This window comes from Homo sapiens, chromosome 10, assembly GCF_000001405.40.
Source record: "Homo sapiens chromosome 10, GRCh38.p14 Primary Assembly".
Lineage (NCBI taxonomy): Eukaryota > Metazoa > Chordata > Mammalia > Primates > Hominidae > Homo > Homo sapiens.
In genome coordinates, this window is record NC_000010.11 from 81,857,963 (window position 1) to 81,881,166 (window position 23,204).

The following is a 23,204-nucleotide window of genomic DNA, read 5'->3' on the forward strand; positions in this document are numbered from 1 at the left end:
GGATTACAGGTATGAGACATCATGCCCAGCCACCTGTGTAGTTATTGTTACCAGTGTTTTTAATTCATGTGCATTTAAGTTATTGTCTAGGGTCTCTTCATTTCAGCCTGAAGGACACTCTTTAGTATTTCCAGGTAAAGTGTGCAATTCAATGCTCTTTATTTTATTTACAGAGTTACACGAACATCTCCACAATCAATTTTAAACCACTTCATCACCCCCAAAAGAAGCTGTGTACTATTTAGTTATTACCACAAATTTTCTCATTTTAATTTGTCATTTGACATACGATACTTTTAATGTAAAATTTCCTATAGTCGAATATTTTGGTATTTTCTTTTTTTCCCAGCATACAATACAGCATAAATAACTAAAGTCATCATGCTGCACAGGAGAATCTCAGGACTTATTAATCTTATAATGTAAAGTTTGTACCCTTTGACCAATATCCCTGGCAACCGTGATTCTAATTGCTGGTTCTAGGAGTTCAACTTCTTTAGATTCCACTTATAAGTGAGATCACACACTATTTTTTTTTCTGTGTGTGTCTTAGTTTCACTTAGCATAATGTCCTCCAGGTTCATTCATGTTATTGAAAATGGCAAGATTTCCTTCTTTCTTCTTTTATATGACTGAATATAAATTTTATATATGTGGAATGAAATTCCATCATATGTATAATGTTTATCCATTCACCCAATGGTTGACACTTAGCTTGATTCTTATCTTGGCCATTGTGAAAAATGCTGCGTTGAACACAGGTGTGCAGATATCTCTTCAAGATAATTATTTTATTTCTTTTGGATTTATATCCGGAAGTAAGATTACTGAATCATAGAGTAGTTCTTTTTTTTAATATTTTAAAGAACCTTTATATTGTTTTCCAAAATGTCTGTATTAACTTACATTTTCACTAATAGTGTACAAGGATTTACTTTTCTTCAAACTGTTGCCAACACCTATCTTTCATTTTTTAAAATGATACTCATTCAAACAGGTGTGAGATGATACTTCATTGTGGTTTTAATTTGCATTCTCTTGGTGATTCATGATGTTGAGCATTTTTTCTTACACCTGTTAAGCATTTATATGTCTTTTGTTGAGAAATAGCTATTTAGATCCTTTGCCCATTTTTAATCTGGTCGTTTGTTTTCTTAATGTTGAGTTTTTGAGTTCCTTATATATTTTGAATATTGACTCCTTATCAGGTGTATGATATGCAAATATTTTCTCCCACTCTGTAGATTGTGCTTGTACTCTGTTGACTGTTTCCTTTGCTTTGCAAAGCTTCTTAGTTTGGTGTAATCTCATTTATTAATTTCACCTTCTGTTGCCTTTGCTGTTTGTGTTATAATCAAGAAATCATTGCCAAAACTAATGTCAGTTAACTTTCACCCTTTATTTTCTTCTAGGAGTCTTACAGCTCAGGTCTTACATCTCATTTTGACTTGTCTTTTCTGTGTGATATAAGACAATAATTGAATTTTATTCTTTTGCATGCAGATATCCAGTTTTCTCAACACCATTTACTGAGAGCCTATTCTTTCCTTTTTGTGTATGCATTGTGCCCTTGTCAAAGACTAGTTGGCCATATATGCAGGGGTTTGTTTCTGAGCTCTTTTTTATAATTCATTATTATTATTTTTTGAGATGGAGTCTTGCTGTGTCACCAGGCTGGAGTGCAGTGGCACAATCTCGCCTCACTGCAACCTCCACCTCCCGAGTTCAAGTGATTCTCCTGCCTCAGCCTCCCAAGTAGCTGGGACTACAGGCCCCCGCCACCACGCCTGGCTAATTTTTGTATTTTTTAGTGGAGAAAGTGTTTCACCATGTTGGCCAGGATGGTCTCAATCTCTTGACTTTGTGATCCACCCGCCTCGGCCTCCCAAAGTGCTGGGATTACAGGTGTGAGCCACCGTGCCTGGGCCTCTGAGCTCTTTATTTTGTTTCACTGGTCTATGTGTCTGCTTGTATGTCATTACCACTTGTTTTGATTATTATAACTTTGTGATATAATTTGAAATCAGAGGTGGCACTGTTTCTCAATTGTAGCTAGAAACACAGTCAGTGAGTCTGTAACCTGGGCATGGGCTCACCTTCATAAAATGGCTTTTCTTGGTCTTGGTCTCCACCAGGGTTTCACAATCTTCTACCTGGATCCCTGAGCTTGCACAAAAGCATTCATCCATGGATGGCTGCCAAATTATTGTTGCTGTGTGAGATATGTGTGTAAAACCTCCTATCCCACCATGTTATTTAATGTCAGCCTCCTTCATTTTTAAGGGATAATTTTACTGGATTTAAAATTCTCTGTTTAAAGTCTTTTTTTCTTTTAGCTCTTTGACTATGACATCCCACTGCCATCTGGCCTTAATGACCTTTATTACCTTAATGAAAAATCAGCTGTTAATTTTATTAAGGCTTACTTATAAATGATACTTTGTTTCTTTCATCCTCCTTTCAAGATTCTCTCTTTGTCTTCTGTCAATTTGATTATAATGTATTTAGTTGTGGATCCTTTTGAGTTTTTCCTATTTGTAGGCTGTTGAGCATCTTGGGTTTGTAGATGTTTTTCATTAAATTTGGAATTTTTTGGCCATTATTTATGCAAATATTCTTTCTGCCTTCTTTTATTCTTTTTCTTCTCCTTCTGGGAATCCCACAATTCCATTATGCCAATTTTAGTATGCTTCCTGTTGTCTCAAAGTCTCAGAGACTCTATTAATTTTTCTTCTTTCTTTTTTTCTCTTCTTCCGACTGGATAGTTTCAACTGATCTATCCTGAAGTTTGCTGACTTTTTTCCTTCTGCCTGCTCAAATTTCTGTTAAGCCCTTATAGTGATTTTTTTTTGTTTTAGTTTTTGTACTTTTAATCTCAAGAATTTTTATTTGGTTCTTTTTTTTATCATTTATACTTTTTTATTGATATTCTCTATTTGGTGGGACTTTATTCTCACACTTTCGTTTAGTTCTTTAGACATGGTTTCCTTTATGTCTCTGGATGTGTTTAGCATAGCTGATTTAAAGTCTTTGTCTAGTAAGTCCAACACATACGCTTTCTTAGAGAGTTTCTTTTGATTGCTTTTTTCCTGCATAAGAATCAGGCTTTGTTCATTTGCAAACCTCATAATTTTTTGTTGTGAACTGGGCATTTTTAGAATATAATGTGACAACTCTGAAAATCAGATTCTTCTCCCCTCGCTAGGGCTTGTTGCTATTGTTGTCTGTTTTTGTTTCTTCATTTGTTTAATGACTTTCCCAGACAAATTATATAAAATCCATATTCTTTGTCATATGTGGCCACTGAAGTTTTTGTTCAGTTAGTGTAGTGGCTAGTTAATGACTGGGCATAAATTTCCTTAAATACTTGAAGCCAGCAAGTCTCCCAATCTTTGCCAGGTGGTTCTGTATGTGTTAGACCACATTTTCAGTGCTCTGTGAGTTTACAACTCTCTTCCCCCTCACCTCCTGCTTACATAGAACCTCAATGTCAGCCACAAATGAAAGTGTAGACCTTTGTCAGTTCTTCCCTGGGCATAAGCATAGCCTTATGCATGTGCATGATGTTCTATATTTTGAAAAACATGTTGGAGCTTTTCAAAACCCCCATGGACATCTCATTCCTAAACTTTTCCTTTTAAACTTTTTGTGTAGCTTAGTGTCTGCCCCAAATGTTGCCTACTGCTTCGGGTGTACACAAACTTAAAAAATTGCTTCTAAATCTTACAAACACATGCCCCTGAGAGAAAGGACTTTTCATATTGGTGATTTCTGAGTCATATTAGGTAAACTCAGCCTTGTAATTGGCTTTTCTAGGGAACTGCTAGATGGGTCAAATAATGACTATTTTTTGGGAATGAGGCTTTGAAAGAACTCCAACCCCATTCTGCCCCCTCCAGTCTGCTAGTTTTTACTGGTGATTGCAGACTATTGATTTTCAAGGTTACTGTGGAGCTGGAGAGAGAAGGATGAAAATAGTGTGTCCAGAATTGGTGGGTTCTTGGTCTCACTGACTTCAGGAATGAAGCTGCGGACCCTCGCGGTGAGTGTTACAGTTCTTAAGTTGGTGTATCTGGAGTTGTTCATTCCCCCTGGTGGGTTCGTGGTCTCGCTGGCTTCAGGATTGACGCTGCAGACCTTCGCGGTGAGTGTTACAGCTCATAAAGGCAGTGTGGGCCCAAAGAGTGAGCAGCAGCAATATTTATTGCAAAGAGCGAAAGAACAAAGCCTCCACAGTGTTCGAGGGAACCCAAGCAGGTTGCCACTGCTGGCTCAGGCAGCCTGCTTTTATTCTCTTATCTGGCCCCACCCACATCCTGCTGATTGGTCCATTTTACAGAGAGCCCAGTGGTCTGTTTTGACAGGGTGCTGATTGGTGGGTTTATAATCCCTGAGCTAGACACACAAAGGTTCTCCACGTCCCCACTAGATTAGCTAGATACAGAGTGTGGACACAAAGGTTCTCCAAATCCCCACCAGAGTAGCTAGATACAGAGGGTCGACTGGTGCATTCACAAACCCTGAGCTAGACACAGGGTGCTGATTGGTGTGTTTACAAACCTTGAGCTAGATACAGAGTGCCGATTGGTGTATTTACAATCACTTAGCTAGACATAAAGGTTCTCCAAGTCCCCACCAGTCAGGAAACCAGCTGGCTTCACCCAGTGGATCCTGCACTGGGGCCACAGGTGGAGCTGCCTGCCAGTCCTGGGCTGTGCGCCCACACTCCTCAGCCCTTGGGTGGTCGATGGGACTGGGCGCCATGCAGCAGGGGGCGACACTCGTTGGGGAGGCTCCAGCCGCACAGGACTGGCTGCGGGCACGGTGGGGAGGCTCAGGCATGGCGGGCTGCAGGTCCCTAGCCCCTGCCCTGTGGGGAGGCAGCTAAGGCCCGGGGAGAAATCGAGCGCAGTGCCAGTGGGCCAGCACTGCTGGGGGACCCAGTACACCTTCCGCAGCCGCTGGCCCAGGTGCTAAGCCCCTCATTGCCCCGGCTGGCAGGGCCGGCCTGCCGCTCGGAGTGCAGGGCCGCCAAGCCCACGCCCACCCGGAACTCCAGCTGGCCTGCAAGTGCCACGGTTCCCACTAGTGCCTCTCCCTCCACACCTCCCTGCAAGCTGAGGGAGCTGGCTCCGGCCTTGGCCAGCCCAGAAAGGGGCTCCCACAGTGCAGCAGTGGGCTGAAGGGCTCCTCAAGTGCTGCCAAAGTGGGAGCCCAGGCAGAGGAGGTGCCCAGAGCAAGCGAGGGCTGTGAGGGCTGCCAGCACGCTGTCACCTCTCAATAGGACATGTTTTTTGTTCTTACCAAGATTCAGCCTTTTTTTTTTTTAATTGAATAAATGCTCCTCAGATTGCTGCTCTGGTAAATTTCCAATATTTTAAAAAAGTTGACTCTGACAGTTTTTGCCAATGTTCTCATTGTGTTCATGAAGAAGAGGATTCTCAGAGACCCTTACTTACTCTACCATTTTACTGACATCACTGATCGTATGCTTCTTTAGACAGCCCCCAACTGCTCACAAAAGATACTTTGATATTTCGGCAAAAACCGTGATTAGTACATAAATGCTGTATTATGTTTTAAGTTCCTAACATGAGAGGTCTCATATATAATGCACTAATTTTTAAGTAAAATAATGATAAAAGTGACTCTGGGAAGTTGCTATATCTGTAACTGTCAAGCAATAAGCAGTCTTTCAAGTTAGTACAGGACCCATTTATTTCTTTGGATTTTATTATTTCAACCCACTTAATCAGGCCACCAGCAATAATAGGAAGAACTAAAAACATTGCTACAAAACATGTAATCATAAGATGTCTGACTCCAAGAGAACTGAGGGAAGTGGAAATTATGACATAAAGATCCAAAAGGAAAGTGTTTGGGCCAGCTGGAGAGAAGAGGTGGCTCCAAATTAGTCCTCTCACCTCCACCCTAACCCCAAAGGGCAAAGAATGACAGCTTAGACAGCATATATTCCTATTGGTTACAAGCTTGCCAAAGCAGTAGCTTTCAAGGAATGGCCTAGCCTGTGCCCCTGGGAATGTGTACCCTGGAGAACTTCCATTTGCTTTTGGTAGAGAGGAACCTAGAAAGAACAAAGGAAGTCTGACACATAGTATAAAATTGTGAAAAAAAGTTGCCCTTTTACATTCCAGTTTGAGATCTTTTAAAAAACAGTGAAGTTTACATATATTCCATATCATCCAATATAAAGATACAATTGAATACAATAAATGTTCATAATCACATTAATTGATTGTATTTGAATGTTTTAAAATATATGCAGAGTGTTTTAAAATATTCAAAATATATTCACATTTGTTTTCTGTTTTAACATTATAGCAATCCTGGCCATGGTGCTTCCCAAATTTTGTGGACAATATAACTGAGACCCAGAGATTTTCATCAAATTGTTAGACAAAGTAAGATTCAATCATAGCCTTCCTGTTTGTTAAAATGCATTCTCCACTACCCATATCCTTCATCATATTAGAGAATCAATAATTTACTGTTCATAGTTTCAACTCTCCTCTTTGCTCTATGTACACACGTTCTCTAAATCCATCAAGTATTTGATATCTGTGTTTTCAGAAATTACATGTGACCCTTGGTTAGCTTAATCAAAATATTTGCAACTCCGTTTAAGTCTCCCTTGAATGCACAGTGAGACAAGACAACTTTGATGCACAGAGTTGTCTTTCTTCGGGATGACATTTCTGACATCATGTCTGGAAACAAAAGACATAATGACTCCATGATATTCCATCTCAATCACACAAAAAAACTTAAAAATTAAAAAAAGATTTTTAGAAAGAAGAAATTGCCATTTTTTTCTGCAGGAAAGGGGAACTGCTTGAAGAATTTGAATGATGTAAGTTTGTCTGAAAGCTTTAAAGATGAAAGGTATCACTTTTTACCCATTAGCATTATAGGATGATGAGATCCTGAATGTGCCTTGCCACTTCAAAGGGTCACTGGACTACAGCTTTCAGAAAAGACTGCCTGCAAGATTGTGAAGGAGGTTCAATTCCCTTCAGGTTCTTCTTTCAGTGCACTTGAACATGGCTACAACTTTTAGAATTCGCCAAAGTTTTTAATGTAACTTCTAAATCTTTCTATTTCTGGGTCCCCCTTGTAAATTTCCATATAGAACCTCAGATTTCTTTTGTCCTTCTTCAGGCCTACATTGAATTTCTAGGACTTAGACCAGGGTTCTAGCCTCTTGCTTAAATATTTATGCTTATCACTTCAGTGAACAGAAGGTACAGGTGCAGTTCGGGTTCAAATTCTGGAAACCCATCATGCCTTGCCTAAGAGGTATCTTGCTGCTAAGACAACTGCCCAGAGAAATCAGATGTGTGTCCTGGAGAAACATGAGGAATACCAATTGTGAGTTTACTTCTTTAGTCCTCCCAGTGAGAGAAAGGACAACAGACAGAGTTATGTGTGGGGTGGCAAATAGTGTGTAATTATTTGCAAATCTGCCTTAAAGCAAGAGATCACCAATATATCCTAGTCTGCTTACCAGGGGAATACTTCGTAGCTAATTGAAAATTTCCCAAGGAGGTTATTTTTTGATTATGTCATTCCCAACATGATAATTTTGAGACTTTTGACTAATATTTTCTTTAATATTTAAACCATTAACCATAAATAGTGTTGTTTTGATTTTTAATGTTATTCAATGTAGTGGAGACTAAAAATTGTTTTCCTTTGCAGTGACTCAGGGGAGATCAGAGTTGGGTGAACCTTACTCCAGTTCCTGGTAGAGAGTTTTCCATATTAACAACCATCAGCAGTGGGTTGGACACCATTCTAAACTCCTCTTGTCTGCTTCTGAAGCAGCTTGCTCTCTCTCTGAAGCACAATAGGAGCCATTCGGCCTGGCTAGTCTCTCAGGGGGGTCAACTTTACATTTCCCAACTCTGTGGAATTCCTTTGAGTACGTAAGCCTAAAGAGCTTTCTGTTTTCACTTTCTGTCTCTTAATTCTGTATGAAATCTAATTATCACTGTTGAGTATATAGTTTTCATTAATCTAGACATATAATTCCATTTCTATTCCACCTTGTTCCCTGGAAAATTTTAATGTAAAAACTGCTTCCATATCCCCCTGTGTTACGTATGTCACCACACACACACACACACACACCCCAAGCACAAGCATGCACAAACATAATGATTGGTCAAATGTGTTATTCAATTGTCCTACAATGTCTATATTCAAAGCAGAAGATGTTTTCCCATAGTCTTTCATTGCTGCATTAATTAAAAGCAATGATATTGAGACAAAAAATGTACACTAGACAAGCTCCCACAAAAAACAGTAAAAATCTTGACATAGTTTGTGTATGTTATAAATTACATAGGATTATACCCATGGCTTTAAAAGATTTACTAGGATACCGTTTTGTGGCTTCTAAATTCTAAAATATTCTCTAACTGCCAAGCTAACTAGAACATGAAGAATATTTTGTCAAATGGAGATACACATGGTATTCCTATGGCATTTCACTGTTTTTCACCAGTAGTAAAGATTTGGGAGTAATTTTACTTTGTATTTTCCATGTAAGGAAAAAAGAAACATGAGTCTTACAGGATATGTTTCCACTCTTATCATTACTAAGAATTATTAGCACAAACGCATTCTTATAATGTTAAAAAGAGAACATAAATTTATGTCAATGTCAATATTGAACTTTACCTGAGCCCTATGCCCCTACGGAACAGTAATGCTTAAGGAATCCACCCCCATAATTTTGGTTTTCAGAAATCCCTTCCCACTTCTGTGTTCCAGGAAGTGGCTCACCACCAAGAACCACCTTTTCCCATGGGACTGAGATAACACTGCTTGTCCACTCTTTCCCATGACTCCCATAAGACATGGGTGACCCCCTGGTTGATGATGAGGCCAAACACAGACCTTCCTTTTTCCTGTACCAGCTGAAAAGGTCAGACACAGACCCTCCACTTTGTTGTTCTTTATCTCATAAATGATTAGCCTAAGACTAGAACTGTCCCTCCCCCTGAAACTGGCTAGACACAGAGATAAACATTTCCTGTTCAGCTAAGTGACTGGGACTCCACCTAATTGTACAATAGCCCCAACTGTAAATCATGCTGTGTTCCTCCCTGTGACAGTCCAGGGCAAAACCACTGTGCTAAGACATTCTGATTTTCAGATCTAGTGTGCTTTCCTTATTGTAATAGCCTGAATAAAATCAATTTCCTTACTGGTTCTCCTTTTGTCTTTGGCATCAGTAATGCTGAACAAAACTATGACACTTAAGAAACTACTCAGACAATCCTGAACAATACTCTGAAGGCAGTTGAGAAGTTCACAACCAGCTAGTCCTTGTATAATCTTTTTTCCTTTACTATCTGCATTCAGTTTAAGCACTGCCCACTGGCAAAGTTACATAGACACATAAATACACATTGGTACTTTTATTCATTTTTGTTTAAAACAGGGAATCACCTTCCACCAAATCATAAAATTCTCAAGAGCAAGATAAAGAACACGTTTTCTAAGTCTCCAAAACCCATTGGAGTATCTTTCTCACAAGGGATGGGCATTGTTAGCCTGCTGGGTTTCAGTTGATAATTTTGTCTAAATAAACTAGGTGGTGTTTTCGTTTTTTCTTTCTCAATTTAGAGTACTGAGCAAGTTTTGTCCTCTCAGAATGCCCTTCTTGGAGATAACAGATGGGCCAAATCTGCTATGAGATATCAACATGTATTCCTCTGTAATTCTGTGGGCTTTGTTGTTGTTGGTGGTGGTGGTGGGGTAGCACACAGGGGAGGGAATGAAGATGCATTCATCACCTGGGGCTATGAAGTCCATGCCTCTCCACAGTGCCCCTTCCCTGGCCCTGAAGCTCACATACACTGCCAAGATCCAGCTTGTTAACAGAAATAACACAGCACCAAACTCCTGTGAATATCTCCTGCAAAACTTGTTGGAAAAGGCAGGCTCTAAGATAACGTTCCACGCTGGCAATTTGGATTTTCATTACAATACCTGTTACTACCTCTGACCTGTCTACTATATGCCAACCACAGCACTGAGCACATCATAAGTGACACTTTTCAACCACACAACAACTTGCTGAAAGTCAGGTTCAAGTCTGTCTGAATCCAAAGCCTCTGCTCTTTCTTTACTGATGATTGATCTATTATCAAGAATACATTTCTTTACCTGATATGAGGGAGAGATTGTGGGCCACCTGAAAACCTTCACAGACTACTAATAATCCTCAGAAAGATTGGGAAGTGGGCGAGGAAATTCTAAACTCATACTTGTATCTTAATATTCTATGAGATAAACAAGTTAGGGCCATGTTGAGCAGGTCAGCTATTGTAAGCAAAGGTCTCAGATGTGGCACCAAGGCTATCTGTCCTCGGATTTCTCTGAACAGCTTAGCAGGGAGTCTCCATGGTGTAGGCATAAAATGAACCAGTGAAGAAATGTAGAAAAGTATTTGTTTGTTTTCTCCCATAGTGTGTTACGAAGGTTTTAGCCCAAAATCTAAGGAAGCAGAATGAAGATTTCTAGAAAACGCAGGTGAGATGAAGCCAAAGTGTTATTTATACAAACATGAAATCACATCAGCTCGTTCTGAATGCAGCGTAATAAGCTGCCTTTCTTAGGAATAATGAAGCTTGAAACAAAGATGTTTTTCCTCACTTATAGGAATTTCAGACAGCTGGCATCACATCCCTTCTATACTAGAAGTTCCTTTACACTGACCCGATCCAGGAGTGGTGAGAAGCATGTAAATTGTCAAATGAAATCCTGCTTGTGGTTTGGAAGGAGGAGAAAATCCCACCGCCTTTGTTTCTAACCCTGCTGAGAAGCCGTTTTTTAAAAACCCTTTCCAAAGCACTGGGTTCTCTGAGGGTGCTTGATCAGTGAATTGTCAAGGTAAATTTCCATCTACCAGTTCTCCAGTTTTAGATCCAATCAGATGATTCCAAAAGAATAGAATTGCACAGTGAAGCAATCTAAGAAAAATATATCTACCAATGTTGGGGGAAGATGCCAGGCATGACATGGATAGAAAGGCAAAAACTAAGGCCAGGCATGGTGGCTCACGCCTGTAATCCCAGCACTTTGAGAGGCCGAGGCGGCTGGATCATGAGGTCAAAAGATTGAGACCATCCTGGCCAACATGTTGAAACCTAATCTCTACTAAAAATACAAAAATTAGCCAGGCGTGGTGGCACATGCCTGTAGTCGCAGCTACTTGGGAGGCTGAGGCAGGAGAATCACCTCAACCCAGGAGGCAGGTTGCAGTGAGCCAAGATCGCACCACTGCACTCCAGCCTGGTGACAAGAGTGAGACTCTGTCTAAAAGAAAAAAAAGGCAAAAACTATCGACAAGGAGACCAAAAACTAGATAGACAAAGAGCAATGGCAACTTTGAATGTCAAGAATAACGTACCCATGTTGGTACCTTAAAGTACAGGCAGTTCGAATGCAATGCGAAAAGAATTACATAAACATCTATCACAATCACACCCTTTACCACTGACTTTCCAGCTCATTTTCGACTAATGCTCCTCTCCTCTACACTCACCCAACATTCCACCTGGGCTCTATCTTCGTGCCTTCTGAGGATGGCAAATGCTTAAATTGTCTGCTGCTGCCACAGCCCACTTAACCCATCTCCTTGATTTGGCATTCCTGAGGCTTGTGTCCCAATCCAATGAGGTTCATTCAAACACTAAGGGTCCCAGATTGAGCTCTCCAGGATTCTCTTTTAGTCCCCTCTCACCATAGAGTCATGCTGTGCATAAGGACGGTCCAGTCAATGATGGACCACACATATAGTGGTGGTTCCCTAAGATTATAACATCATATTTTGACTGTACCTTTTCTATGCCTAGCTATATCTATATACACAAATACCATTGTGTTATAATCTTCTGCAATATTCAATATAGTAACATGCTCTACAGGTATAGCCTGGGAGCAATAGACCACACCCCATAGCCTAGGTGTGTAGATGGCCATACCATAGTTTTCTCTAAGTATACACTACAATGTCACACAATAACAAAATCGCCTAATGACACATTTCTTAGAACATATCCTTGTTGTTAAGTGATACATATCTGTACTTGAAGAAAAAGGCTCTGTACTTGTGTTCCTCCCCCACTGAACTCAGGCACAACTTCTGCTAAAGGTAGCCTCTTCACAGAAATTCTCCCTGGGCTGGGCACAGCGGCTCACACCTGTAATCCTAGCACTTTGGGAGGCTGAGGTGGGCAGATAACCTGAGGTCAGGAGTTTGAGACCAGCCTGACAAACATGGCGAAAGCCTGTCTCTACTAAAAATACAAAAACTACCCAGGTGTGGTCGCGGGCATCTGCAATCCCAGCTACTTGGGAGGTTGAGGCAGGAGAATCACTTGAACCTGGGAGGTGGAGGTTGCAGTGAGCCAAGATCATGCCACTGCACTCCAGCCTGGGCAACAGAGCAAGACGCCATCTCAAAAACAAAACGAAACAAAACAAAACAAAAAAAACAAACAAAAATTCTCCCCCGATCTACAATGTGTTGTGCTATCTACCCAGTTCATAGTTAACCTATTTTGAAATTTGGGTATTGTTTTCTGGCACCTCCCACTAAAAATTCACATCTATTTTTTTTCCTTAGTGCCTTATTAAAAACTTCTAATTCCACATCCTGTTATACCGTAGTCGGCATTTTCTAATTTATGATAGTGCAATTTGGTAACATTCCAAATACCTTAAGTCTTTGAAGATTGGTAGAATCATCTTGTGACTATCGTATGGTTAGAACTAGAATTCTTCACTTTCCACTTTCAGATTTTGCTCTGTATACTTTTTATATTTTATTATTCATTTTATTTATGATATTGGGTTGTAATGCAGAAATGCTTGGGAGTCAAGCTGTTATGAATAATGTGATCCATGTGGGGATTTTCCAGTAGATTTTTGGGTTGATCCTACACATACAGCATCAAGAACTCACAAGAAATAAACTTACTTATTGAGACCTGTGAAGAAAGCAATCAACTTTTCTTTTAAAAAGGCCACCATGATTACTAAAAAATGTGTATCATTATAATCACAGTAGTGGACTAAACCAAGGGAGAAAAAGGACATATGCAGTCATATGGAAGGTTAACCTTATTCATGCTTTGCAAAATGTTTACTCTGTGAAATGTGTTCGGGAACCACATTGCCTCTACATGATTCCAGTAAACATTATGAAGAATATTAGGATTTTGCAGGCCAGACTGGCTTCAAAAGTGAGTACACTAGCCAGGGAACCCACAGGGAATAAAAGAGCACTCTGGTGTCATATTGCTAGGAGTGTCAAGTTCTCATGGCCTTGTGGGGATTGGAAACAGATTGAGGATCTTGGACTGGAGATATCCTTTGTAATTACACTAACTAGGCAGGTTCTTGGTGGTCCAAACCTGCACTTTTCATTTTCTGATAGACTATAAAATTTATCTATTGTGTTTGATCATGATCAGTCTCTCTAAAATATAAGCTCCATGAAGGTAGGGGCCTTAACAGTGTTCTCTGTTATATCCTCTGTGCCTGGTATATAATTTGTAAAAGGTTTCTATAAAGAATGAGCTAAGGAGAAAGAGTGAATGTATGGGAAGGCCGACTTTTGTCTCAACAAAAAGACTTTTCTAATTATGTACACTGACAGGCTGGGTGGTCTTCCCCAGGAAGTGCCCTTTGCCAGAGAGCCAGAAGAAACCCAACACCTGGGACATGTGATGAGATGACACATCAGAGGTGTTTGGCCACTGAGGTCATTTACAGCCTTGTGGTTTCAAAGATGAGCCTTTACCAAAGACTTTGCAATGGAGGAAGCCCTGGACAATCATACTGTAGAAAGTAAATGACTTGACAACTAATTGAACTTGGGAAATGGCGGGTAAGGAGTCAGATGGCACTGAGACTCTCAGCCTGGGGATATTGGTGCCATTGAGGGGAAAACTGCATTTCAATAGAAATGCTGACTTGTGTCAAACTTTAGGCAATGATTAGAAATCCCAAGTTTAGTGTGTCAGTAGACCACATAGGAGATATCCACAGGTAATTATAGTCAGGCAGATGGGAAGCTCAGGGGAGGCTGAGGCATGCCACACCCATTTGTTAGAATAATTATCTCCACAGGAAGATATCTGAGGATAATGCTTAAATGGTGCCATAGGTGAATAGTCCATTTAGCTATACAATTTCATATAATTACGTAGAATGTGGGCATCATACCTCCATTACACAGTTGAAAAAACAGTGGCCCAGAGTGATTTTATTGCTTATAAGTGGCAGAGCTCTAACTTGAATCCCTGTATTAAGAGTCTGAGCCTGAAGCTGCTTCTTCAGCGTTCTGCTCCAGTGAGCTCTGAGTCACCAGAACGAGGCTCCTCCCTACCATGGGACTGACTAACTGGCTGCTTATTAGCAGTGAGAGGGTCCACTACTTGTCCTCGACACAACTGTGGACAGCCCCCTCCCCATTCTCACTTCCAGTGCCAGTGCTTACCACCTGCTACCAGGGAGCCTCACAATAAAATTGCAAGTTAATGATGGTTGCACCAGCCAAACATTCTTGGATAGGGTGGTACAACCTGTTCCCCAATACAAGGCTATCAAAGCAACGTTTTGATTTTTTTTTTCTCTCTCTCTAGTGATGATGTTCACTGTGAGAACAACCAATGGGTAGCTGAGTACGGTGGCTTGGGATCTGGGGCAAAATGAGCTCAACAGGGATACATGAATAAGCTGTTAAAGCCAAGTGGAAATGAGAAGTAGAGGGAATTTGGAGAGGCAGATGAAGAAGGCATTAGGGAGTACTGAGAGAACATGGAGTGAATGCTGTCAGACTGTGGCTTCAGGAAAGGGAACATTTGCCTGCATTTGCCCAGCTGCAGCATTATAGCATCCCTTTCTGTACACTGGATTTACTCTACCAGGCAGAAAAAATGGGAGAGACCACAGGAATACTGGCAGTGGTGGGGATGGGCAATGAACTAGGAGTGCTTGGGAAAAGTAATTTTCTGTCTCAAATAGCTGACAGTAGCACCTGCTATAATTCCAGAGAGGTTTGCAGGAAAGCTTTTATTTGCTACACAAGAAAGGCTGGGCAAGTAGATTCCTAGCTGGGAAGTAGATTCCTAGCACCTACAGAAGGTAGATACTGGGTCAGTTTTTACTTAAGATGGCAGTGCTTTACATTGGAAAGCTAAAGGAATTTGGATTCAAAGGATTCTGGTTTTTTTTTTTTTGCTTACAATTTTTGGAACCATAATTCAGCACTACTAGATTAAGGCATGTTCCATCAAACTAAAAATCAAAAGCTTTCCTATGGGGAAAGTCTCAATGTTATAGCTGAAAGAGGTGACAGCCGCATTACTGCCATCAAAAATAATTTATTAACCTTGTCTGTGCAAAGTACTCTGGTAGGCACCAAACCCCAGGGGCTTCCTGTTTCAATGCATCCTCTGCTCTCTGCAGTCTCTTCAGTGTAACGTTTGGCTCTCCCCCTGTGAATAAAATGGATACCTTGAAAACTTCATCTTTGTGGAGACTATCACAGGACAAGAGAATGCGGGCTCCATCATCCACGCCAATCAGACAGTGCTGGGGGAATGTATTAGAAAGTTGCCTTTCTCAACCTCATATTCTTAACGCTTGTAAATAAAAACCCCTCCTCTTCGGTTTTCACTTTAGACCAGGAAATCTGGGGAGAGTTGGCAAGCAAGGTTTTGCACTGTCGGCATATGTCATGCTAACACTGGCTCTTTGCCCCTTGCCTCGGCAGGTACCACACAGCGCTGGAGAAATAGGTACACAGGTGCCTCCCCAGCCAAGGGAAGAAAGCAGTAACGGAATTTGGGAGTCCAACCCCAAATCCTTTCATATTTACCTCTCACAAACACTTGCCTTGTAACGTGTGTACCTGTGCGTACATTTACAGGTAAAGACAATATTTTAAGGCAAGTTCACATAAATGGCTTGGAGATATCTGACAGGTCTGATTATACAAAGGTCTTCTGCTCCACCTGCATCTCTCAGGAACTCAGGCAAAGGTGGCCTTCCATCCAGCCGCACCGCCATCCGGCAGGGGAGGGCACAGGCACCCTCCCACCCGCATCCGCCCCCGCCCCCTCGCCCAGCAGCGTCAGTCTCTGACCCCACTGGATCCGTACAGGAGACGACTCACAATCGGTCGGAAGCTGCTTTTGCCCCCCCACCCCACCGCAAACGGGGGTTTGCTTGGATCATTTATCTATCTTGTGTGCATTAAGAAACCAGCATTAGCTGCTAGTGGGAGGCGCTACTCTGCCCGAATCCCAGCCCGCCGCGGCGATTCTGCACACACACACGCACCAGCCTGGCAGCCAGAGCCCGTCTGGAGACGCCCTCAGCCCGGGGTCTGCGTTCCCCGGGACCCCCGACGCAGTCTCCCGCTTCCGTCCCCCACGCTCAACCGGGCAGGGCGCCGGGGCGTGATTTCCGATCCTCTGCCTGCTTGTTGGGTCCCTCGGAGGCGGGTCAGACCGCACCCGCCGCGGGCGCCCGGTGCGCCCCCAGCCCCTGGCTCGCGGCGGCGACAGCGGCGCTGTTCGCTGGAGTTTGACTCTCCGGCGGCGGCGGCAGCGGCGCGCAGCAGCGAACGGCTGGAGCAAGGCGAGCCGGGCCGCTAGCCCTCCGCGCTGCGCTGGGATTGGTCTCTCCAGAAGAGTGCTGGCCGAGGGTTGGCTGCGGGCCGGCTGAAGAACAGGTGCACCTCACCGCCCGGGCTCGCGGAGCAGCCGCCGAAGATCGCGGCGGCCAGGCAGGCCCTCTGTGTCGGAATGCGGGTGGCGGGCACCCGGCACCCCGCGACCGGCCGCCGGGGCCACTGAAGGCGGCGCGAGGCCCAGGCGCGGCGCGAGCGGGCGCCCCAGGGAGCGGGCTGGGCGCGGTGCCCCGAGGATGTCGGCGCTCCTGGAGCGCACGCAGGCGGCGGGCAGCAGCAGCAGCAGCGGGCGCGGGGACCCGGCGCGCAGGAGGCGGCTTGGAGGGCTGCAGACGCGCCCCGCCGCTCTCTGACCGACCGGAGGCGCCGGGGGCCCGTCTCGCCCCTCTTCCGAGCTCCTTACCGCCCCCTCCCCGGCCCCGTCCCCTCCCCCGCTCCTCTCCTCCCCGCCCGCCGCCCGCCTCTCGGGGGGAGGGGCGTGGGGGCAGGGAGCGGATTTGCATGCGGCCGCCGCGGCCGCTGCCTGCGCCCGAGCCCGCCGCCGCCGCCGGAGCCCGCGCCCGCGCCCGCGCCCGGCCCGCGCGGCCCCATGCCTCTGCCGCGGCCCTCGGGGGGGCGAAGGTGAAGACCGGCTCCTAGGATGAGTGAAGGGGCGGCCGCTGCCTCGCCACCTGGTGCCGCTTCGGCAGCCGCCGCCTCGGCCGAGGAGGGCACCGCGGCGGCTGCGGCGGCGGCAGCGGCGGGCGGGGGCCCGGACGGCGGCGGCGAAGGGGCGGCCGAGCCCCCCCGGGAGTTACGCTGTAGCGACTGCATCGTGTGGAACCGGCAGCAGACGTGGCTGTGCGTGGTACCTCTGTTCATCGGCTTCATCGGCCTGGGGCTCAGCCTCATGCTTCTCAAATGGATCGTGGTGGGCTCCGTCAAGGAGTACGTGCCCACCGACCTAGTGGACTCCAAGGGGATGGGCCAGGACCCCTTCTTCCTCTCCAAGCCCAGCTCTTTCCCCAAGGCCATGGAGACCACCACCACTACCACTTCCACCACGTCCCCCGCCACCCCCTCCGCCGGGGGTGCCGCCTCCTCCAGGACGCCCAACCGGATTAGCACTCGCCTGACCACCATCACGCGGGCGCCCACTCGCTTCCCCGGGCACCGGGTGCCCATCCGGGCCAGCCCGCGCTCCACCACAGCACGGAACACTGCGGCCCCTGCGACGGTCCCGTCCACCACGGCCCCGTTCTTCAGTAGCAGCACGCTGGGCTCCCGACCCCCGGTGCCAGGAACTCCAAGTACCCAGGCAATGCCCTCCTGGCCTACTGCGGCATACGCTACCTCCTCCTACCTTCACGATTCTACTCCCTCCTGGACCCTGTCTCCCTTTCAGGATGCTGCCTCCTCTTCTTCCTCTTCTTCCTCCTCCGCTACCACCACCACACCAGAAACTAGCACCAGCCCCAAATTTCGTAAGTAAACACTGTGTCTCAACTATGATTTACTACTGAGTTTCCCTTCTGCCCTCCTGCTGTCTTTTTCCCTCGCCGCCTGTTTTCTAGCAAGCCCCCTCCCCCATCCCAGGTTTGGGGCAGAGTGAGAGCTGATTAAAACTGGCCACCAGCGGGGAAGAAGGTGCCAGCCTGCTCTGGTTCTGGGGGGGTGGGGGCGTGTAGGAACGGGAGGGAGATTGTCAGGCTCCACTGGCCCCACTTTAGCGGGTCCCAAGTGAGAACAGATCTCCCAACTCCCTTCAAAGGGTTAACGCGAGTGCGATCCCTCCTCACTGCAGACCTGCTGGCGAGCTGCCGGATCCCGCTCCAGTAGAGGGCCAGGGAGGGAGAGAGGGCCTTCCCGAAGGCACTGAGCCCCTTCTCCGCCCGCCGGTAGGAAGGAAAGAAAGCAAAGCACATGCAAATTGACCGACGATAAACCACAAAAGGAAGTTATGTCCTTGTGTGGGGTGACGAGTTGATGGAGATAATGGTAGAATGTTGCTGAGGACGCTTCCAGCAGCCCTGACCTGGGCAGGAACCAGAAAGGGTTAATTAGAAGCCACTGGGAGACTTGGGGAAAGGAGGCGATCCAAGGCAAAGGGCTAAACTGACCTCCTAGCCTGCCTGTGGCCATTCCAAGGTGTAGACATAGATTCTGTGACCGCCGAGAGTGAGTTAACTAGGAGGAAATATGAAGGGAGCCCTGCAGAGCTGCCACCTCTAGGGTCCTGACGAAGGAGGAGTTTTTTTCAGCCCTGCCAAGCCTTTGCTTTTGTTCCGTTCCCAAAGGTGGGGTGTGAACCTTATCTCCTCTCCCTCTGTGCCTGAAAAATATAGACGAGTTGAGAGTTTTCTGCACTCAAGGGTGAGAACATCCAACCGTTTGGAAACATGTCACCGTTAGAATGTAGCATCTTCAACCTGGGCTCAGTATGAGCCAGTATACCCAAAGCATGATAGCTTTCTGTTTATTTGTATAGAAAGTGCGTATTTTCTCAACATTTTTATAAATGTTGTAGGTGACTAATTGACCTCCCACCCCAACCCCCACCTTGTTCTTATTCAAAGGAAATCTCAGGTGTCTTTTAAGCTGATCTGATCAGGATATGGGAACAGTTTGTGCAACCTGTGAAGGTTATTTAGGACAAACCCCAGGCTGCTAGTTCAAGTTCTGTGCAAGGCTATTTTGCAAAAAACTGTCTGGTTATGCTGTCTTTATATTGTATTTGTGTTTTGAGCCATAGCATCTGAGATAAAGGAAGAGTGTTCATCATTAACTCTTCAGTGATGATGGGAATACTGGGTTTGCTTTCAGTCATCTGCTAATTTTTCATTTCCCTGCCCTATGATCTTACCCTGGGTGTTACTTAACCCTTGAAACTTTTTTCTTTTTAAAGAATGTAGTGTATTTGTAAGTAAGGTCCAGGAGAGGGAAAGGGGGAAAAAAAAGCAAACCTACTTTGCTTTGGAAAAAACCGTCTAGAAGATAAATTGGGAGACAGGAAGGAGGGAAGGAAGGAATCTGCCACAAACCAGAATGGCAGTAGAGCCAGTAACTTGCTGCTTCTCTCTCCTTTGGCTGAAGCAGTCATTTTTGAGAGCACATTTTCCCAGGAGGTGTTTAGAGCCTCCACTCAACAAATCTAGCTTGTGTTTTGTAGAAGGATAAAGGATTCATGAGTGTATGTGTGAACATATTCAATGGATTGAAAATGAGTCTACCCTGAAGACCCCAGATTTTTGATCTGCTCTTTTGATGCAGTTGATAGAATAATGGAGTGTGGTATACCTCCAACCCTTGTATGCGTTGGGAGAGGAGGGGGACTACACACGGTAGGGGTATTTCATGTTCTTTCTCAATTGATTTCCTTGTGTACCATTCCGGAGGTCTTTAAAGAAAAGCCCAAGGTAATTATTTCTACCCCTCTATGCTCTCTTCCTACATTCCGTGGACGGGAATGGCAGCCTGTTTAATAAGTAATGATTATTGACAGGGCCCTCAGCCCCAAGGAAAAGAGGGGAAAAATCTGTAAATGGTGTCAATGTTCACATAGACATATAAGCAGTATTTGTTGTATTTGTATCTTAGTTTCAGCTCTTTCTCTTTTTTAAACCTTTACAAGAAGTTGAATTAAGGTATGTAATACAAGTATGCAAAATCCAGCTGAAATTGACCTGGTTTGCATCTATAAACAAGGGAAATTTTAAGGAAAAGTGGATTATGTAGTTTTCATAAAACGTGTTTAAATAGGCAAGTTGTATGGTGACTTGAAGAAAGAGGATAGTTTAGTTATTTTTTTCATCCAAGATTGCAGGATGATTAACAAAAGGAAATTAAGATTTCATTTGAGAGATTATCAGCAGTGCTACTGTAGGATGAAAAAAGCCTGAATCACTGGTGTTCATATTTTTTTTACTTGTCTTGATTATGCCCGTAAAGTTCCCAGGAGAGAAATTTTCTTTTCCCCAGCTCCTACCTCCATACTTTAGTGGGTCTTTCCGTCCTTTCTTTTTTTTAAATGAAAGTAATGGATTCTGTTGTAGTACTTGAAAAAAGGTTAAGGATGATGCTTTCGTTTTTTGACTAACCCACAAATTCTTTAATGGCCAGGATCTTTGCTCTTGCATTGGATACCTGAAGGCTTATGGAATGAATGTCTTTGTGTTCATCTTAGATCAATCAGAAGGATCCTGTCTGTAAGGATCCTGTCTCTTTGGAGTGGAAGAGGCTGGTTCACTGACAATGAACATGCTTGCTAATGGATAATAGGATTTTTTCAAGCAAAAGCTGTTTTTGCTATGGGAAAGGCCCAGTTAGAGAACTGTTTCTAATTTTCTGTAGGAATAAAGACAAAGAAGGATTGAACTTTAAAGGCAGGAGGAGAAAGGAGGGTTTGCAAGTTGATTCTTCTCTTCCCGTCCTCCACCGTTTAGGCCGTGAGCTGGACCAAAACTTTCTTCAGCGTTCCTGGGATTCTTGGGTTTCCACTTGCCTAGTACTTGCTTGCACTTCAGACTCTAAAAACGAATGTCTTAAACATATCGCCAGGGGAGATTATTTCACCAGAAACATCTTTGAAGCATTTTGTATTTGAAAGTAGAGGTTAATTTACAAGTTTTTCAAGCCAAAGGGAGGAGGTCACTACAGACAGTAGAAAACAGTGATTTTGACCAATGTACAATCAGCCTTTCCCTTTTACAGCGCCTTCAATTTCGTTTTCAGATTTGAAATATAGTTGTACAATGCTGCCAATGCAAATGTGGATTGTTTTAGAGACATAGAATTCTTTTACTAAGCTGAAAATACTGTTTAACAGGTGGTAGCCCGGAGTCATTGGCTAAATTCAAATACTAAAGACAAAGAGCCTCTTTTTATAGGTGTTTCTTTGGGTTAGATTTGGAAGGTATATGGTTAATTATAATGAACATCACAAATATCTAATAGTGTATTTAAGAAGAAATAAATGTAGAATGTACATTTGATGTTTAAGCAAGGTATGGAGGCAATTTTAATTTAATCATGTCTATTTCTATAAAACTTTACCTAGTCATACCTACTGTAATTTTTAAGAGAGGCATTGATAAAATCAAGTATTTTCTTATTTATTCTTTTCAACATCTTCATTCCTTAAATAAGGGTACACTTGTTTGCTTTATAAGCAGCCTCAGATATAATTTGTTTAAATAAAGTTACTTCTGTACATTGTATTCTCTCTACATGAGTCGAGGCCTTTAAAGGCATCCAACGTAGAAGGTACTGACCCCAATCATGCATGGTAGCCAAAGTGAGAGGATTCAGAGCTCAGGATCAATATTTCTTATGAAATCCAATTGAGAGCTTTTTTTTATGAGCACAGGCTGCAACCTGAGTATGTTTTGATTTCCTTTGGCCTTAATTCAGGATTATGAGACTTTTCTGCTTTAATCAATTATGCTGTACAATTTTACTGTTACACACTTATGTTGCACTTCATGGTCCTAATTAAAAAAAGAGGGCAGGGGTGGGTGTGTTGGCAAGGATATTTTTAGGGCCCTTTTTAGTTTGGACTCGTTGGTCTCCGTGCATTAAGACAATGCGGTTTAAGCATTCCTCCCCAGTTCTTCAGACTGAAGTGAGGGATAGGAGGTGTTGTTAATTGAGAGTCCCTTCTGCAGGATTAATTTGTGAATCCAGCTACAGTTATATTTGTGCTATTTTCAAAACCTGACCAAAAAAAACAAAAAAAAACCCAGCTGGTTTCTGGCAATTTCTCGCTGTTACTGAAGCTTTTCTAAATTCAGGTTGGGCAACAACAGGAGTGTTGGTGCAGTTTGAAATCAGTGCCTTCCTGGGAGATCCAGGATGTAGAGGAATACCATCTCTCCTCTCTCTGGAGCTACTTTCTCAGCCCTTCCTCCCCTTTGTACACAATGAGAAGAAAGCTTATTTTCAACTTGCTTTTGTAGAAATTCTTTCCTCATAACCTCTCATCTCCAATGCCAAACATATCTCAATATTCTATCTGGGATGTCAAAAATGGAACATGAAAGTTGGCCCTGAAGTATATAAGAGCAAGGGAATAGTCATAAATCTAAGTCTGTAAAATGCATTTGAATTGCTTCTGAATAGAACTGAAATTCATTTTTCTTTCTTTCTAGCTGTTTTTATCTTTAGACTCGTGTGTTGGGTAAGGACAGAGCTGGTACTGCGTTGACAAATACATTTTGAGATCCTAGAAATTTTACTTATCCACCCAAGAAAGTGTTCCCTCCAGAACCATATACATAATGAAGTGAGCAATGGACTCTATTTGAAACTTTGCAATATCACAATCAAAACTTACCTACATAAATGTTTCCTCTTCATGCAATTATAAATAAAATCATTAGACACATGTTTAGTTTGGTTTTCCATTTCACTCTTCCCCTAAGACTTCCTGTACTCCCACCTGCCAGTATTTTATAGTTGAATCATGGCTCTGACTGAAGGCTCCTTTCAG

General features: G+C 43.6%; 1 protein-coding gene and 2 long non-coding RNA genes across 26 annotated transcripts in view, besides 1 other annotated feature; 2 read left to right on the forward strand and 1 right to left on the reverse strand.

Moving 5' to 3' along the window:
* The first annotated feature begins 6,300 nt into the window (after positions 1-6,300).
* Positions 6,301-7,808, forward strand: LOC105378390 (uncharacterized). The gene is made up of 3 exons (XR_946135.3): positions 6,301-6,422; positions 7,253-7,389; positions 7,720-7,808. It is a non-coding gene; the product is annotated as an uncharacterized LOC105378390 (long non-coding RNA).
* LOC124902549 (uncharacterized) lies at positions 15,410-16,556 on the reverse strand. The gene is made up of 2 exons (XR_007062377.1): positions 16,387-16,556; positions 15,410-15,539 (listed from the first exon to the last, which is right to left on the reverse strand). It is a non-coding gene; the product is annotated as an uncharacterized LOC124902549 (long non-coding RNA).
* Positions 17,232-23,204, forward strand: part of NRG3 (neuregulin 3) — a 1,111,986-nt gene continuing 1,106,013 nt past the window's right edge. For 20 of the 24 annotated variants that reach the window (NR_163251.1, XR_001747009.3, XM_017015573.3 and 17 more), the window contains exon 1: positions 17,232-18,201. Coding sequence is in view for 20 of the 24 variants with exons in the window: in XM_017015573.3 (XP_016871062.1) it covers positions 17,379-18,201 (823 nt within the window). In the remaining 4 variants the exon portion in view is untranslated. Of the gene's footprint in view, positions 18,202-19,724; positions 20,134-23,204 lie in introns of those variants that run through there. The other 4 variants (NR_163253.1, NM_001165973.2, NM_001165972.1 and 1 more) reach the window with 3 other exon arrangements.
* Positions 18,181-18,943: an enhancer, noted in NCBI's record as "H3K4me1 hESC enhancer chr10:83635899-83636661 (GRCh37/hg19 assembly coordinates)". NCBI's record gives its function as "activates a minimal SCP1, AML or CMV promoter by ChIP-STARR-seq in naive H9 embryonic stem cells {active_cell/tissue: H9 hESC(naive)}" and the evidence as "EXISTENCE:reporter gene assay evidence [ECO:0000049][PMID:30033119]".